At 42.8% G+C, this 16,716-nt stretch overlaps 1 protein-coding gene across 11 annotated transcripts in view; it reads right to left on the bottom strand.

Moving 5' to 3' along the window:
- TRIO (trio Rho guanine nucleotide exchange factor) overlaps positions 1–16,716 on the bottom strand; it is a 366,863-nt gene that overhangs the window by 192,262 nt on the left and 157,885 nt on the right. For 10 of the 11 annotated variants that reach the window (NR_134469.2, XM_047417679.1, NM_007118.4 and 7 more), the window contains 2 exons: positions 13,351–13,482; positions 1,200–1,430 (listed from right to left, as the gene is read on the bottom strand). Coding sequence is in view for 10 of the 11 variants with exons in the window: in XM_047417679.1 (XP_047273635.1) it covers positions 1,200–1,430; positions 13,351–13,482 (363 nt within the window). In the remaining variant the exon portion in view is untranslated. Of the gene's footprint in view, positions 1–1,199; positions 1,431–6,447; positions 6,633–13,350; positions 13,483–16,716 lie in introns of those variants that run through there. The other variant, XM_017009803.2, reaches the window with a different exon arrangement.

The raw sequence follows: 16,716 nt of genomic DNA, 5'->3' as shown, positions 1-16,716 counted from the left end.
GTTGGGCAGGCTCGTCTCGAATTCCTGACCTCAGGTGATCCACCCCCCTTGGCCTCCTAAAGTGCTGGGATTACAGGCGTGAGCTACCTCGCCTGGCCTGATTTTTGTATTTTTAATAGAGACACGGTTTCACCATGTTGGCCAGGCTGGTCTCAAACTCCTGGCGTCAAGCGATCTGCCATCTCAGCCTCCCAAAGTGCTGGGATTACAGGCGTGAGCCACCGCACCTGGCCCATTCAACGTCTTTTGAATTTACCAGATTCACATGAAGTGAAGAATGATGAGAATGATGGTGAATGACATACAGAGAATCTCAGTCTCATCAGAACACAGGGCGACTCTCCAAATTCCCAGCCCATTCAGCAGAAAACTCACTCACCTTCACATGACACTCAGGGAGATGGAAACCTGAGATCCTGAGAGTGGCTCTACTGCAGGCTTATCACGGCGGTTCCCAGCCAACTTCCTGAGGCCATGGGCTACCCTGCATACTCCAGGATTCCTCCTCCCCAGAGGTGACACCTCATTCATTCCCTTGTCTTTCCCTCTATTTGGGGGCAAGGACATGGCTATCATCTTATTTATCCCTAAAGCTATGTCATATTTTACTCCCATAGCTTTAATCCTTAAAACTCTTATTCTATAATAAGGAAGCAAAACAATGGGGAACTGGACTTACTCTTATTTTTGTTTCTTTAAAACAAAAGAGATGGCAACTGCTTAGAAATGAATAGTCATAAAAGTGTACTTTTCATCAACAAGACAACTAATTATAATGCACCTACTGTGCACCATGGACTGCACTACCTACCACGTGGGAAGTGAAGCATGACCACCTCACTGTTTACATAGTTGGAAAAGCAGACAAGTGTTAACTAAATTATAACAATACACTGGTGTGAGCACACCAGCATTATTGTCACAAATAAATATAAATGAGAATGATCCGATTCTAGAAGAAAACTTCCCAGTGTAGGCCCCACATCCTCTCCTGGGTTCTGTGCACAGGAGCTACTGGCTGACAGCAGCCTGAACACGCGTTCCTAAGCCCAGTTTTCACTTACATTCAACAAAAAAGCTCCTCTCCTTATCTTCTAGTCATCACTCCTTAAGCACAGATCTTCCCAATATGATGATGTATTTAAACTCTACTCAACACAAGCCATTTCCCATGCAGAAGGGCATGAGGCGAAACTGACCTGCTGAACGTCCTGCTGGAAAACACACAGCTGCAGCCTCTGATGCAGCCGGACCTTGCGGTGTTGCCAGATGTTCTCCAGCTGCCGCTGGTGGTGCAGCACCTCGTGGATGACATCCAGGACATGGTGCACGGCCTTGGAGTAGTTGGCAGAGGCTGTCAGGGAATCGGAGCTGCCGGGAGTCAAGGGCCGCTGGAGCTTGTCAAGGAGCGACTTCCCATCTTGGCTGACCTGCCCACAAAAGAAATGAGTGATTCTTCACGATCTGAGGTTTGGCCTAGGCTGTGCCACAGATGCTGTCCTTGGATACATGTGTGTGCACATACAGGCACACACGTACATGTACACACATTACACACATGCCCAGACATTCATTCACACACCACAGTTTTACTCAGAGGCAGTTTTATATAGGATAAAATTTAAAACAATCCATCAGCTATCCAATGACATCACAAAGCCAAATGATGCAAAACACTAGGTGAAAATAAAAGAACATTAATTACTACAAAACACTGTAGTAGATACCACTCAATGAATAGGCATACTATTTGCCTTAAATGCCATAAATCAACTAACAGAAACTGCATTCCTGGGATATCTGCAAATTAAAATTTAAAAGTAATAATTTTATCTCGAGACATGTTAAAGAGAATACAGCAGATCATCACAATGGAACAAAATTGTTCCTTAAAGCCTCAGTTAAAACAAAAAAATCAATCTAGCACTAGGCATAGAATATGTACTTAAACTTTCTGACATAGCTGGAGAGCAATTTAACTTCACAAAAGAAAATTTAAAATGCCATTCTATTTGGTTCATTAACTTTAAAAGGTAGTTTTAATTAAAATGCCATCAAGTGCTATATTATGGCAATTTATTCTCAAACTACAATTAAATGAAAGTATTCGGGTTAATCAAAGAAATAAGAAAAGGTGAGGGTGCAATTTAGAAAGAAAAACATTATGTATTTTTCCTACTTAAAAGTGATTCATAAGACTTATGAGTAATTAATTACGCCAGATGTTATTGGGGGGAAAAAAAGTGACAATCAGACAACACAAAGTGTGTGTGAGATGCATAAGGTAACCAGGTGTGGGATGCAGGTGTCTTAAGTAGGTAGGGCCTCTTCACATGATCCTTCAGCTTAGATACTTCCAAATCTAAAAACCTCTTTGAGTTTCTAGTAAGCAGGCCGGGTGTGGTGTCTCTCGCCTGTAATCCCAGCACTTTGGGAGGCCGAGGCAGGCGGATCACAAGGTCAAGAGATCGAGACCATCCTGGCCAACATGGTGAAACCCCGTCTCTACTAAAAATACAAAAATTAGCTGGGCGTGGTGGCGGGCACCTGTAGTCCCAGCTACTCGGGAGGCTGAGGCAGGAGAATGGCTTGACCCCAGGAGATGAAAGTTGCAGTGAGCCGAGATCGTGTGCCACTGCACTCCAGCCTGGGCGACAGAGTGAGACTCCATCTCAAAAAAAAAAAAAAAAAGAGGAGCAAGTTCAGGGGCACTTTTAACAGACACAAGCCCAGTTTAGAAGAAACCCTTAGAATAAAAAAGAGCACACAGGGAATAGGTAAATGGGAAAAGCTAACACTGAGAGCCTTTAAACCAAAACCTGGTGGCAAGTGACCCTGCAGAATTTCCTAATCGCTTCCTTTAATCCTCTTCTAACTGCAGTTGTGCCAGATTGTAACACGTTTACTTTTCAATACCTGAATTTGAGACGTTGGAAATGCTGATTATTCCTTACGAAGGCTTCAGGGTTTAAAATTCACTTAATACAGCCTAACAGCAAAACTTGGGAGGAAATCAGCTCAGCTGACATAACCAAAGATAATAAAGGAAAAACCAACCAAGTTAACTGCTGAATTAGTGTCAGTTAAAACAAAAATGGAAAATTTAAACAGTCTTCTCAAGCAGGCTTCTCATTTGTGCCCAGAAGTCACTGAAATTGGTGTGGACATTGCTGATGCAAAGATTTTGAAGAGAGGAGGCACCATGATTGATTTGGGTGGTGGATTCAGAGAAGCAGGGTACTCTGAAATGAGCAGGATATTAGCACATGGTGAAGAAATGTCCTGCTTTTCGTGATCATCTAGGCAAGGCTGTTTTTAACACATAAATACACGGTTTTTCTCTTTTGCCCAGTTTTAACATACTGATCTTCCCACAAATCCAACAACCATGTTAATCAAAGACAGTGTTTGGTTTTCTTTGGAACTTTACAAGAGCTGTTTTCCCTTTCAAAATATCACATGACCACAATAAAACCATTCTCAATACTCGCATCACCAAGATGCCACATGACCAGGCTACAGTTGTAGTTGCTATATTCACAATAGTTTTATATATATGACCAGCATCTGAATATCTAATTTTTTCACCTACAATAGATGTATTTAGGCATTTATAGACTGAAAAACATTTTATCATAAATCACCTTTGTCTCCAACTTACAATGTAGCATATAATTTTTATGTACACATATAAATTATATGCAAAGGTAGATTAAACTACGTATGCATTTTAGTTCAGGATCATAAAGCAGGTGTCATAAAATTTGTGTTATATCATTGGAGTGCTGCATCTCTTAGAACTGAGAGCTACTGCTCCAAGTCATACATTTCACATGGTGTTAACCCTAAAAAGAATTCCTTACAAATATTTCCTCTACATTTTACTCCTTGCATTACTGTTGGAAAATGTACATCAGAGCCTATGATTTGGTGAACATGTGCCAGAAACTGACAGCTGCTTCCCCAAAGTCCACTTGCCCTCCTTGATAGCCAAACCCCTACAGTCAGAAACAGCAACACTCCAGCTGTAATGCCACATTTCCCAGCCTTGCTTACATATATGAGTGGCCAATATACAAAAGTAAAAAATGTTGAATGGGAATTCCAGGAAAGCTGTTTAGGGGCTAAGCTGGCAGGTATGCTCATCCCCTTGTCCCTTCCTCCTCCTTGCCGCCAAGAACTTGAATGAGATAGCTGGAGCTTTAGCAGTTATTGATGACTCTGAGGCAATCTTAAGAACAGCAGCCTACCTGCTAAAAAAGGCAACACAGAAAGACAGAAGGATCCACAGATCCTCTTACTAATAGAGCTACCACACTAGCCCTGGAATGACAGCCTTTGGATTTCTTTTACACAGGGAGAAAGCCAATTTCCATCTTAAGCCATTGTTTTGCAACTTAAACCACCAAATGCAAAAGGACAAGATGAGTTCCCAGCCCTCAGCAAGTTTCCAAAACTCATCCCTGTGACACCATTAATATTCTTCTACTGAGAATGGAGTACTCTAAGCAACAACATTCCATGCAATATTTCTTTCCTTGAGTGTCTCTGCAACTGTTTAACAGATCTCCATGCCAGAGATCATGACTGGATTTCGAAGGACACACTTGCTCATGGCGGTGGAGGGGTAGTGGGAAATGTCTGCTGAGAAAGTCAATACACAAATACCTTAACATAAAACAACTCATTAAGGAAAGCTCCACCTTCTGAGAATTCATAAGCAGGGATTAATGTGTCTGTTGGTCCCACCACTGGTACTGTCATTTACTGATAGTGACAGCGGCAGTAAAGACCCTGGGCGAGATAACACCTCTTGGACCCACTTTAAAACCAGACAGCATGGAACTCCAAATCCATGTTCAAAAACAGCATTTCGCCAATAAACCTTTCCAAATATGATTCTATATTATTTCAGTACAAGTTTTGTAGATTTGGCAATTAAAAAGTATGATTTAAGCACATAAAGGATGGCATATATAGTTTTCACTTTTGGCAAAATGTCTTAGTCTTTGTAATTACAGTAATATTATGTGGAAACAACATGCTACAATTTTATGAGGACTGCTGTTCTGTTGTATAGAGATAATAATTTTTAAATGGTACAGAATAACCAGGAGAAAATTAATGAAAGAAGAGACTATATAGAGCAGACAAAAAAATTCATATAAAATGTAAGTGCTAAAACAAGTAATGTAAGTTTATGGCATGTAGTGTAGTTCCACAGTTTCTTAACTACTGAACCAGGTGAGTGAATTTACTTCAGTTATACATTTTGTTTAAAACTCTGTTTTCAGCTTCCAGGCACTGAAACTCTGAGCCACAAAGAGACAACAGCTGCAAAAAGAAAATCAACCTTATTAAATAGCAGGACTTTCCTATAATAATTTTTGAACCGATCAGATCAGCTCATTTTTCAGTCTGCTCTTTGTTTTTCTTGGAATACACAGCTGGGGAACTTGAAGGGCAATCAAAGTTACATATTACAAAGATTAACATTTTATAAAGAGAAACTAAAATGCTCTGATATCCAAATGAGTTCAGAAAAATGCAAGTACTAACTAAAGCAGAAAAAGTAATTAAAGGTAAGTTTAAAATTTTACCATATCAAAGATATGTTTGTTCCTAATATTTAAAAGGTAGTATAACTATTTAAAATGTAGAACAATGGGCTGCTTCTTGAATATTTACTGTTCATCAGAACTGCACATAGACTTGTAACTTGGATTTCTGCATGTCACCCTTAAAAAGAGCCATAAAACTTCAGAGATTTGCCTATTCTTGTTTCTGGTACTGGGATCTCTACGTTTCCTGTAAAATCAGATGAGGGCTGAGCGTTTCCAGCAGGAATATTCTTCACCTGCACAAGGGATGAACGTGGCTCTGACCTAAGGAAAGACAATAGCATCTAGACATTCTTGCTTACCACTGCAAAAGCAACAACTGCCCAAAGACCAAATAAAGATGAGTGACAGCATATCAATTAGGTCCAAACGCAGTGTTTTAGATCTAAAAAGTGCTAGAAAATGGCATTCCCAAGATACAACAAAAACAGGCAAAATACACCAAGACATTTAGCCTGTAATAAAGAAAAAGTGTTCCTTCAAAACTTTTATGAAATGAATTGCACTATTTCTGCCGACTCAAAGCCAACACCGTCTTAATTCTTTTTCAGGCTTAGCTCGCCATGGCCTGCAAAGCACAGACCTCCACACGAAGCCTGGGAATGATTTCACTCTCCTCTCCAACTCTTGCTGAACTTATTCTCATATCAAGGTTCTAATAAAGCAGAAAAGAATGAAAAGGGGTCAGCAGGTAACCACCCAGCTTATTCTGCAGCAACAGTTGACATTCCTTGGCCAAACAATCGAACCCTTCTGAGTAAGGAGGTTCCAATCTGTCTTCAGATGGCTACATAAGATGCTCCTACCAACAGTGCAGGTCAATTACCTCCTGAAAGGTCATGTGTGTTCCCAACGACAGATACTTTCCCATGCTTCAGGGAGAACACAGAGAAAGCTGGTTCCTTCTCCAGGCAAAGTTCTTATTGGATGGACCTCCAAATGATGATTTCTATTTCTTTCAGCTATTCAGTTTCTTATTCAAAACCAGATCAGTTTACCTTGGTTTGACTCTCTGACACCTGTAAACCTGGGATTATCAGAAAGGAAAAACCAAAATAAGACCAAAACAGGAAACGTCTGGAGCAGCCCAGTTGGCGTGAGTCAGTTCCATATGCCTGACATGTGTGTTCCATAGGCTGCACCTGGGCTCTACTTTTGCTGCTCTTATATTTCAAGTGCTTGCAAGGCCTCAAGCTGAGTTTGGGGTGAGAAGAAGACAGCTGTCATATGGGCTGTTGGCTCTGATACTATGGCAGATGCTGACTACAGCACTGCATGTCGCTACAGCAACACTGCGATCTTTAATGAGGCTTTATACAACTGTGATGGAAGTGACAGCTGGGCGTGGTGGCTCACGCCTGTAATCTCAGCACTTTGGGAGGCCGAGGTGGGCGGATCACTTGAAGTCAGGAGTTCAAGACCAGCCTGGCCAACATGGCAAAACCCTGTCTCTACTAAAAATATAAAAATTAGCCGGGCCTGGTGGCATACACCTGTAATCCCAGCTGCTCAGGAGGCTAAGACACAAGAATCGCTTGAACCCAGGAGGCAGAGGTTGCAGTGAGCCTAAATCGCACCACTGCATTCCAGCCTGGGCAACAGAAGAAGACTCCACTCTGCCAAAAAAGAAGTGACTCTACCGCAAGGGAACTGAGCTTCCACACACATCACGGAGAGGTGGTTTTTTGGTTTTAAGAAGTTTCCTATCCAGGTGACTCATTTTGCTGTGTGTTTTCATCTTAGGCTAATAGCACTGACCCTGCCATCACCCACTGATACAGTGCCTTTAAACAGGAGCTCAACCAGCTTTGCAGGCAGCAAATCAGTCATTCCCATGAGGCCCTGTTGAGGCACACACTAAGTTGGCACATTTGTTAAACTGAGAAATGGATGCAGAATCTAAGCCCTGAAGTCACATGAGATCCAGCAGGCCAACGCCCCATGGCACTTCGCCTTGCTTGTGCTCCGTGGCTGCAGCAGTGGCCCTTTGGTGGATGTGTGGCTGCTTACTATGCAGTCTCACCTTGCAATCCAAACACCTGGCATTGAGGCTTGTGAGGCAACACAGGCACACTGAGATGAAAATCATTTTTATAAATTCAGTTTGTTGAAAAACTGGTAGCTGAGTTGGCTTACTTAAAATGTTAAAAATGACTACAACTTATCTCCGACGTTTACACTGCTTCACTCTCTTGTGATCAACTGTAGCCAACAAGATAAGCTCAGAGCTGGCAAGCTGAAGCAAGTGAGTGTTCAGGAGGCCCAGGTGCGTTCCTGTTGCTAAAGCACAAACAGGAGTGACACGGGCAGGTCTAATTAAAGCACAGCAGAGCAGGTGCTTGCGTCTTGGAAGAAAAATGCTGGGAAAGTTTCCCAAAGCAAATTTATATGATCAGAGACTAGAAACTATAAACCCTGTTCAAAGAAAAAAAATTGTAGAGAAAATGAAGAGAGGAGGAGAGAAGAAAGGGAATAAGGAAGGACAGGAAGAGAGAGGCAAGGAAAAGGAAATAAAAAAAAGCAAAGCAAGCCCTGCTTATAAGTACTCCTAACCCCACATGACCCGGCATCCAGTTCAATGTCTAGCACTTAGCAGGGGCTCCGTATCTGTGAGATGGACACCTCCTCAGCAGACCCCCAGCTCTTCAGAGCAAGCTCAGGAGTGCTGCTCAGCATGTGATCTGTGTACCATTGGCATCAGTCACTGCAGAACTAGGGAAGGCCTCTGAAAATGGAGATTCACTATCTCTGGGGTAGAGTACTGCTGCATTTTAAGCCAAGACACTCAAGTCTGCAAACCACTGATTTAGGAATATAAAATAAAAATCACTTACAAAACAAAAGCAGTCCTTCCCTTCCCATCTTCCTGACACCTTCCCTCTTGGCATGAAGAAAATGAGGAAGTGAGGGGTGGAGGTGCCAAAAGAGGTGTCCCTGTGCCAGGTTAAGGGAGTGGGTGGTAGGAGTTGGAGGTGGAGAACCCAGACAGAATGGTTGGGAAATGGAGCAAATACACCAAGTGAACAAGTAAGTTAATACATTAAGGAAAATAGAAGCCAGGTTTCTTGCTGCCTGAGAATAGATTAACAAACTTAGAAAGGGAAAGGATGGAAAGAACCCTGAGGTATTGGATTCGAAATGCACAAACACATGTATTTTTAATACAGATAGACACAGATAGATACAGCAGTAATTTTATATGGATGTGTATGTGCATGTGTAGATAATGTGTGGATGGGTGGGTGGGTGGGTAAGTGGTGGGTAGATAGATAAATGAATGAGTGGCTGAGTGGCTGGGTGACTGCGTGGGTGGATGGATGGTTGGGTGATGAGGTGGCGATGGACAGTTGGGTGACTGGGTGTATGGATAGGTGGTTGGGTGACTGGGTGGATGGACAGATGGACTAGACAAATGTGGATGGGTGGTTGGGTGACTGAGTCAATGGATGGGCAATTTAGTGATACGGCAGATGGATGGATATGGGTAGATGGGTAGATTGATAAATGTAGGTGGATGGCTGTAGGATGGGTGGTTGGTTGGATAGATGAATGGATGGGTAATTGGATGGATGGATGGATGGATGGATGGATGGATGGATGGACAAATGAATGGGTGGTTGGGTGATTAGGAGAATGAATGGATGGATGGATGGATGGATGGATGGATGGATGATGAATGGGTGGTTGGGTGACTGGTTGGATGAATGGATGAATGAACGCATCAATGAATGAATGATTGGATAAATGGACAGATGAATGGGTGGTTGGGTGATTAGGTGGATGGATGGATAAATGGATGGAGGTTGGGAGGGTGGATGGATGGACGGATGGGTGGCTGGGTAATTGGTTGGATGGAATAATGGATGGGGATTGGATAAATAGAGGGATGGATGGTTGGATGGAAGGATGGATGGATGGATGGGTGACTGAATGGATGGATGGATGGACAGATGAATGGGTGGTTGGGTGCGTGGGTGGGTGGGTGGATGGATGGATGGGTGGTTGGGTGATTGGGTAGATGGATGGGTGGTCGGGTGGATGAACAACGGGTGGTTAGGTGGACAGATGGATGCAGAGATAGACGGATGGATGGGTGAATGGATGGCATTCATATGTTTCATAAGTCTGTCTGCTAAGAGGGTCTAGAAGCAGTGACACCTCACAAACAAACAAAACTCTGAGAACCCAGGTCTTTAAAATTCTAAACACCATACAATACTGTAAGGAACCATCCCACTTAGTGAGACGAGTGATCCCAGGGTAGGCAGGGAAAGTACAAAATGAGCTGGGAACAAGTGCTCAAAGGACAATAAGGACATATCAAAAAGACACAGAAAAAAGCTCCTGCTGGCCAAGTCTGAACAATTTAGGAATCAAAAGAGTATCAAATTATAACCGACTGATATAGTAAGATCTCATACTTTCATACTGATATAAACAAACAAAAGAGAAAGGAAATACAGCTCATTCTTATGGTAGAAAGCCACCTAATAAATACAGAAGGAATAATGGAAATAGGTGATCATCATCACAGTGGTGGCTGCTATGGGCAGAAATCCTCAGTGGAAACTATGGCTGTGAGAAGTCTGATGAGAAACAGAGACTGGTATTCTATTAGAGTAGCTGCCCACAAAATGTGCAGCAAAGACTAATTTTTTAAATGGTGCCTGTGCATTGGAGAAACCCTGCAGACACCAATCTGACCAAGTGGCCAAGATGAACACTACTCATAGCCGGAGAGGTCAGTATCCTCTGTCCACTGTGATGACACCCAGAGAAGGACATGCACTGCCAAAAAGGCACAGCCTGAGTCAGCCCACGAGAACTGGGGGCAACCAGAAGTAGAGGGCCATCTAAAGAAAGAAAGGCCTGTACTCTTTAAGTATGTCAAAGACATAAAGGCAGAGAAAGACTAAAGAACGTTCCATTTTAAAGGAGACTGATTGGTAAGACATGGCAATTAAATGTAGCGCACATTGCTGGACAGTGCCCCAGACCAGAAGAGAAAGGGGCATCATTGGAACACTTGGGGAAATAGGATCAGTGGCTGTGGAGATGATGGTCATGTTGTATCAATGGTGCTTTGCTGACTGGAGAGAGAGGCAGTGGGGAGAGAGGGTGGAGCAACGTAGTGAAATTCTACAACTTGGAAAATCTGGGTCGAGGCAATGTGGGAGTTCTCTGTGCTATTCTACCACTTTCCTGTAGCCCTGAAACTATTTCAAAATGTAAATAATTTAAGAGGCAAAATAATTCATTCTGTTCTACTGAAAATCCTTTCAGTTCATCCAGTTCAAATTACTGTCTCCTTGAGTTTACAGCTCAGTTGCAAACATGTTCTTAGGCTAAAATTCCATCTAAGACCTCAGTTTGAGAGGCTGTTTAACTTCCTATCAAATTATTTTGAGATACTGGTACCAATGTAAATCAAATAAAACTATACCACAGGTAAACATAAGTTCCTGTGTCAAGATGCCCCATTTTTATAGAATGCACTGGTAACAATTAGGAGATTCTGTATTTAATGAAAACTGCCGAGAGCAACAAGCAGACTGAAAGAGCCAGCTTGGCTGGAGGATGACACTGGCTGGGTCAAGGTGATTCTGATTTAAGTTATGCACAAAGACTGTATTCCCAGGGTCTGCCAATCACCTTGTAAATGAAGGCTATTCAAGCCCATCTTGGTTTGGCAAGGGCAAGGGCATGCAGACAGCTGGCTGCAAGCCCACCACTGCATTCAAAGAACAGCTCCAAAGCAAGAGATTCATATAAGCAGATGAGTGGAGGCCTCATTACATGTGTGAGTAACAGGGTCATTTGCTTTCTGTGTTATAGGTCAAAATTAGACAATGCATAGAGATGGCACATCACGGGAAAGAACTTGATGGTTTTTAGAAGTGACATAATCCTCATGAGCCAATGTGATTAAAAAAATTATAAATGTGTTCAATTTTCAGTTTTACTATAGAAAAGGCTATCACTTATTTAAATAGTTTCTAACAGACTAGACAACCAAATTAGTTAAGAAACATTGGTGCAAAATTAAGAAACAATACAGAGTTGACTTTCTTAATTCCATAGCCAACACGAAATGTTACTTGAAAAAACTGTATCTTATTAGGCAAAGGTGGCTAAAGAAACAAACAAATACCAACTGCCACGGGAAAGAGAAGGACTGCCCACATTCTGAAGCAAATATACAGTTAGACATCACGTGGTATCAGGGACACATTTTGAGAAATGAATCATTAGGCAATTTCGTCCTTGTGTGAACATCACAATGTAGACTTTCACAAAGCTAGACGATGCAGCCTACTGCACACCTAGGCTATAGGGAGCAGCCCACTGCTCCAGGCTACAAACCTGTACAGCATGTTACTATACTGAATACTGTAGGCAACTGTACCACAATGCTAAGTATTTGTGTATCTAAACATAGAAAAAGTACAGTAAAATACAATATTATAATCTTATAGGACCACTGTCTTATTTGCAGTCCATCACTGACCAAAACATCTTTATGAGACACAAAACTGTAGCAGCAAATCACATGTCCATTTAATTCGCTCAGGGACACTAGGATGTCAAGACAGGCAGGCCCAAGGATATGAGAGTGACAGCTGGGCAGTGAAGCACAACAGGAAATATCAGAATGAAATGCAAATGGCCACTTTCTTCCCAACAACTTTGACAAGTTTGGATGTGTTTGGATCAAGATTTAGATTTAAACACAGAAAGCATTTATTAAACATCTACACTGTCCAGCACTCTTCCAGGTGCTGTGAAACTCTTACAGAAGCCTTGCGATAATCTTTCATATTAACATAGAACACTGTAGATATAGATGCTTCTTACTCAGGGAGAAAACCTTGCAGAAAAGTAAGGACACAGAATTCCTCTCTACACCCCTCGCCTTCACCTCCAGGAACGTAACTATTATCACAAAGGTAGGCTGGTCTCAAGGGCCAGAGGAACAAGGCATGGGCAAGGGTGGTACTCGTCAACCCATCTAAAGTTGCATCATCAAGCAGCTACCACGTGGTATGGCACAGAGGCCGCAGAGGGTGGTGACTGAGAACATGCAGCCTGCCTGCCTGGGCTAACCCTGCTCCACTAGCTGCTGACCTGGCGCAGTCATTTATCTCTGTGACTCATTTTCTTCAGCAGGAACAGCAGGAACAGATACAGTACGTGAGCATTAAGTCAGTCATTACATAAAGTCCTTACAATACAGTCTGGCATAGAAGGTGGCAGAAAATAAAACAGGGATTCACTAAGTAAATAATGTAATACACCCTAAAGTAATAAAGAAAATGTTACACTTAGATTTCTAAAATAGACACATGTGTGCCTTGCAATCTAGCCCATCTTCTCTAAAAGGTTTCATTTGGGAAGATTAAATTGAGTTTGACTAGACTGAAGAGCACACAAAATACACATTTCTTAAATACATGTAGAAAAAAAGACTAGGTTTTCCTTGACTGTAGCAGCTGAGCATATAAGCGCTCTATCGGAAAGGCTACTGCCTGCACACCATTCTGCTTCCCCTACTGCCCCACCCCACTCCCCACACACACAGGGGTTCAAATGCTAAACAATTAAACTGCAGTCTAACTCGAAATCTATAAACTTTTTCTGGGCTACCCAAAACTTTTTTTTTTCTAGCTTCCGGTGTACTATGATGCAAAAATGATGCTGCTTTGCAATGTAAGTAAAACTGGCCACTTACCTCAGAATAAGCAAGAGTGATATGTTCATATATTCCCTGGTGGTGATGAATGGCATCTTCTAGGTCCTGCAGCTCTGAGGGAAGGTCTACCTCACCGCAAGCTTTACACCATGAATCCACGTTGCTCATATACTTGGAAGGTTAAAAAAAGATTATTTCTATCAATGACAATTTATATTGAGAAGTGGACATTTTTTAACATGGTTTTGAAAATTAGGGGACTTGAGGGAGATCCTAAGAATTTAACATGGTTGACTCTCCATCTCAAATGGCATCCTCAACTCACATGAGACTCCTGGACTCCAATCCCAGAGTGAGTTCCAGCAGGACTGGGGTGAGTCCGAGGAATCCACATTTCAGATGAATGCCTCAACTGACTGCTGCCCAGGTCTGGGTGTGCCCCTAGAGCAATGCAGCCCTGTTTTGGGCATTCTAGTAAATTCTCCCAGTCCACCTTTGAATCCACGTTTCTAACTGCCCTGCACTCCTAGCAAGGGAGGACAGAAAGATGACTCCTCCACGTGCCCCTTAACTAGGGCTCAATAGCAGGATGCTCCTTCTCCTTGCAGCTACACGTCAGCCTTACTCCTTTCCTTTTTCATTGAGATGTAATGAAAAAGTTCCAGGTATCTAAAAATCATTTATGTGAAATAAGGAAGAGCAGCCAGTCCATTCCGCTACTGTTTCAAAGGAAATTGACACCAGAATTAAAAGGAGACCAAGAAAAAGGGGCCTGAACTTCTCTGTGAATCTTAGGAAAGGCTTAAGGAGGCAGGGGCATCATTCCCATCCTTCCCAATTTGCAGGCAAATGAGAAAAGCCTGAGCCATGCGAACAGCCCTGAGGCTGCCATCCCAACCCTGGCTCAATCTCCTCCACTGCCACCCTCCATCTCCAGGATCATCAACAGTTCTGCAGCAGCCATCCCAATCCTGGCTCAATCTCCTCCACTGCCACCCTCCATCTCCAGGATCATCAATTCCTGCAGCTGCCATCCCAATCCTGGTTCAATCTCCTCCACTGCCCCCTCCATCTCCAGGATCATCAACAGTCCTGTGGCAGCCATCCCAATCCTGGCTCAATCTCCTCCACTGCCACCCTCCATCTCCAGGATCATCAACAGTCCTGCGGCAGCCATCCCAATCCTGGCTCAATCTCCTCCACTGACACCCTCCATCTCCAGGATCATCAATTCCTGCGGCAGCCATCCCAATCCCGGCTCAATCTCCTCCACTGACACCCTCCATCTCCAGGATCATCAATTCCTGTGGCAGCCATCCCAATCCCGGCTCAATCTCCTCCACTGCCACCCTCCATCTCCAGGATCATCAACGGTCCTGCGGCAGCCATCCCAATCCCGGCTCAATCTCCTCCACTGACACCCCCCATCTCCAGGATCATCAACAGTCCTGCGGCAGCCATCCCAACCCTGGCTCAATCTCCTCCACTGACACCCCCCATCTCCAGGATCATCAACGGTCCTGCGGCAGCCATCCCAATCCCGGCTCAATCTCCTCCACTGACACCCCCCATCTCCAGGATCATCAACGGTCCTGCGGCAGCCATCCCAACCCTGGCTCAATCTCCTCCACTGACACCCTCCATCTCCAGGATCATCAACAGCTGAGAAATCACTGCCAAATTTCCTAGGGAGATCCTATCGAAATCCATCACAGTTAAGAGTGAAAGGCAAGTGCGGAAGGCCCAATTAAAAAAGCTAATTCAATTAAGCCAAACAGACATCAACACATTTCCCTCGGTTTTAACCTCTTTACTCCTGTTCCTCACACATCTTTTAACTTAGCAGGGAATGCAGAGGATGACTATTTGAAATGCAATACTCAACTGACCAGAAAGAAATGTGCTATAATTCCCTTAAAATATAGTAAGAACAAACTCCCAGTTTATTTTTAGGACATTAAAATAGACAAGTCACCCAAATAATAACTGTTTATGGAAATCCTTTTATTGTTGAGTGCAGAAAAATATCTATGCAGACCTTACGGCTTGAAGCCAGTTCATACGGCATTAAGTGTCAACTGAGTATTTCTTGGGTGTCATGTTCTATAAATGTCAATTTGGTCAGGTCAGATGATTGTCAGTATTTTTGAGCTCTGTTTCACTCTATCATCTTCCTGTATTGCATTTAATACCAATTATTAAATTATTGTTTTTCAAACACAAATTGATTGAGGTTAACCATCATCATTAATAAATCATCAGGTCTAAGTCAGCAATTAAGCGCTCCTGGACAATGGCCACTGCAGAACACCCAAAACCAAGAGGAGTTGCAACGTATTCTTAAGATCAAAACGCTTCTGACAGAACATGGTGGAAACACATTTCAGTTATATAATACTTCATAATGTAATGAACAGAAGCATCAGATTAACATATCACTATATCAAAATCATTAAAGTATATTGGACTCCAATTTTTGAAGCAACAACCAATAAAGAAAAAACATTCAAGAAGTTTTACATATTCCTGTAATTAGAACTAACTTATAATTTCTTAAAGTATCCTGAGAGGGCACTGATTATACTTCTCTGAAAACATATAGCCAGGGAAGGATGGTGTGCTACATGAAAACCTTGTGGACAAAGGATTCTGCCCTTTTTCTGGGTTAATAACAGCCCATGATAGAAATAATCCTAGCCATGGTTTTACAGAGGGTTTTGCACAGCATCATTTTTCTGTTCTTTATTTCTAAGACACAACCCTAGACTCCACAGACCAAGCTCTAGGCCTGATTGTTTTCCAAAAGGCTGAACGCCCAGAGGGTGTGAAACCAACAGCACCAGCACAGCAATCCCCGTTCCGAGATGCATGGAACAGGGAACAGGGTGTCAACAGATACTCCACAAAGAAAAAGCATCCTGAGGTCAAGTTTGGTGTTGAAATTCAACAGGTACCTTCATAACAGAACCTCTTAGAAAAGCTTCTAATATGACAATGATATCATACGAGGGGGGACTGGTACTTCCCTCACTCTGATACACATACACACACATATGTGTTACCATCCTGAGTAACCCAGGTTGGGACTGCAATGCTGGGGGAACATGTCTAGCACAGAGCCTGACACTTAGGAGATGAGGACAGAAGGTGGCTACTGCAGTCTAATGAGATCAGAGCAGCTGTCTTAGTATCTGATGCTTTAAGTGCTCCCTAGATCAAAATACGTGAACACAAAGCATCTGGGGGACTGGGGATAAAGGCAGGAGAGTGCGAAAGAATGAAATGTTGCTCTGTCAGTTCAGATCAGGAGCCTGCTTCAGATCTGGGGATCCTGAAGCTGAGCAGAATGGTCGTATTAAGAAAGTGTTGCTGAATAAATGATGAAGGAAGCCTGGATCACCCAGT

This window comes from Homo sapiens, chromosome 5, assembly GCF_000001405.40.
Source record: "Homo sapiens chromosome 5, GRCh38.p14 Primary Assembly".
NCBI classification, from domain to species: Eukaryota; Metazoa; Chordata; class Mammalia; order Primates; family Hominidae; genus Homo; species Homo sapiens.
Note: the sequence above shows the minus strand (reverse complement) of the source record. Positions and strands in the feature narration are given on the sequence as shown.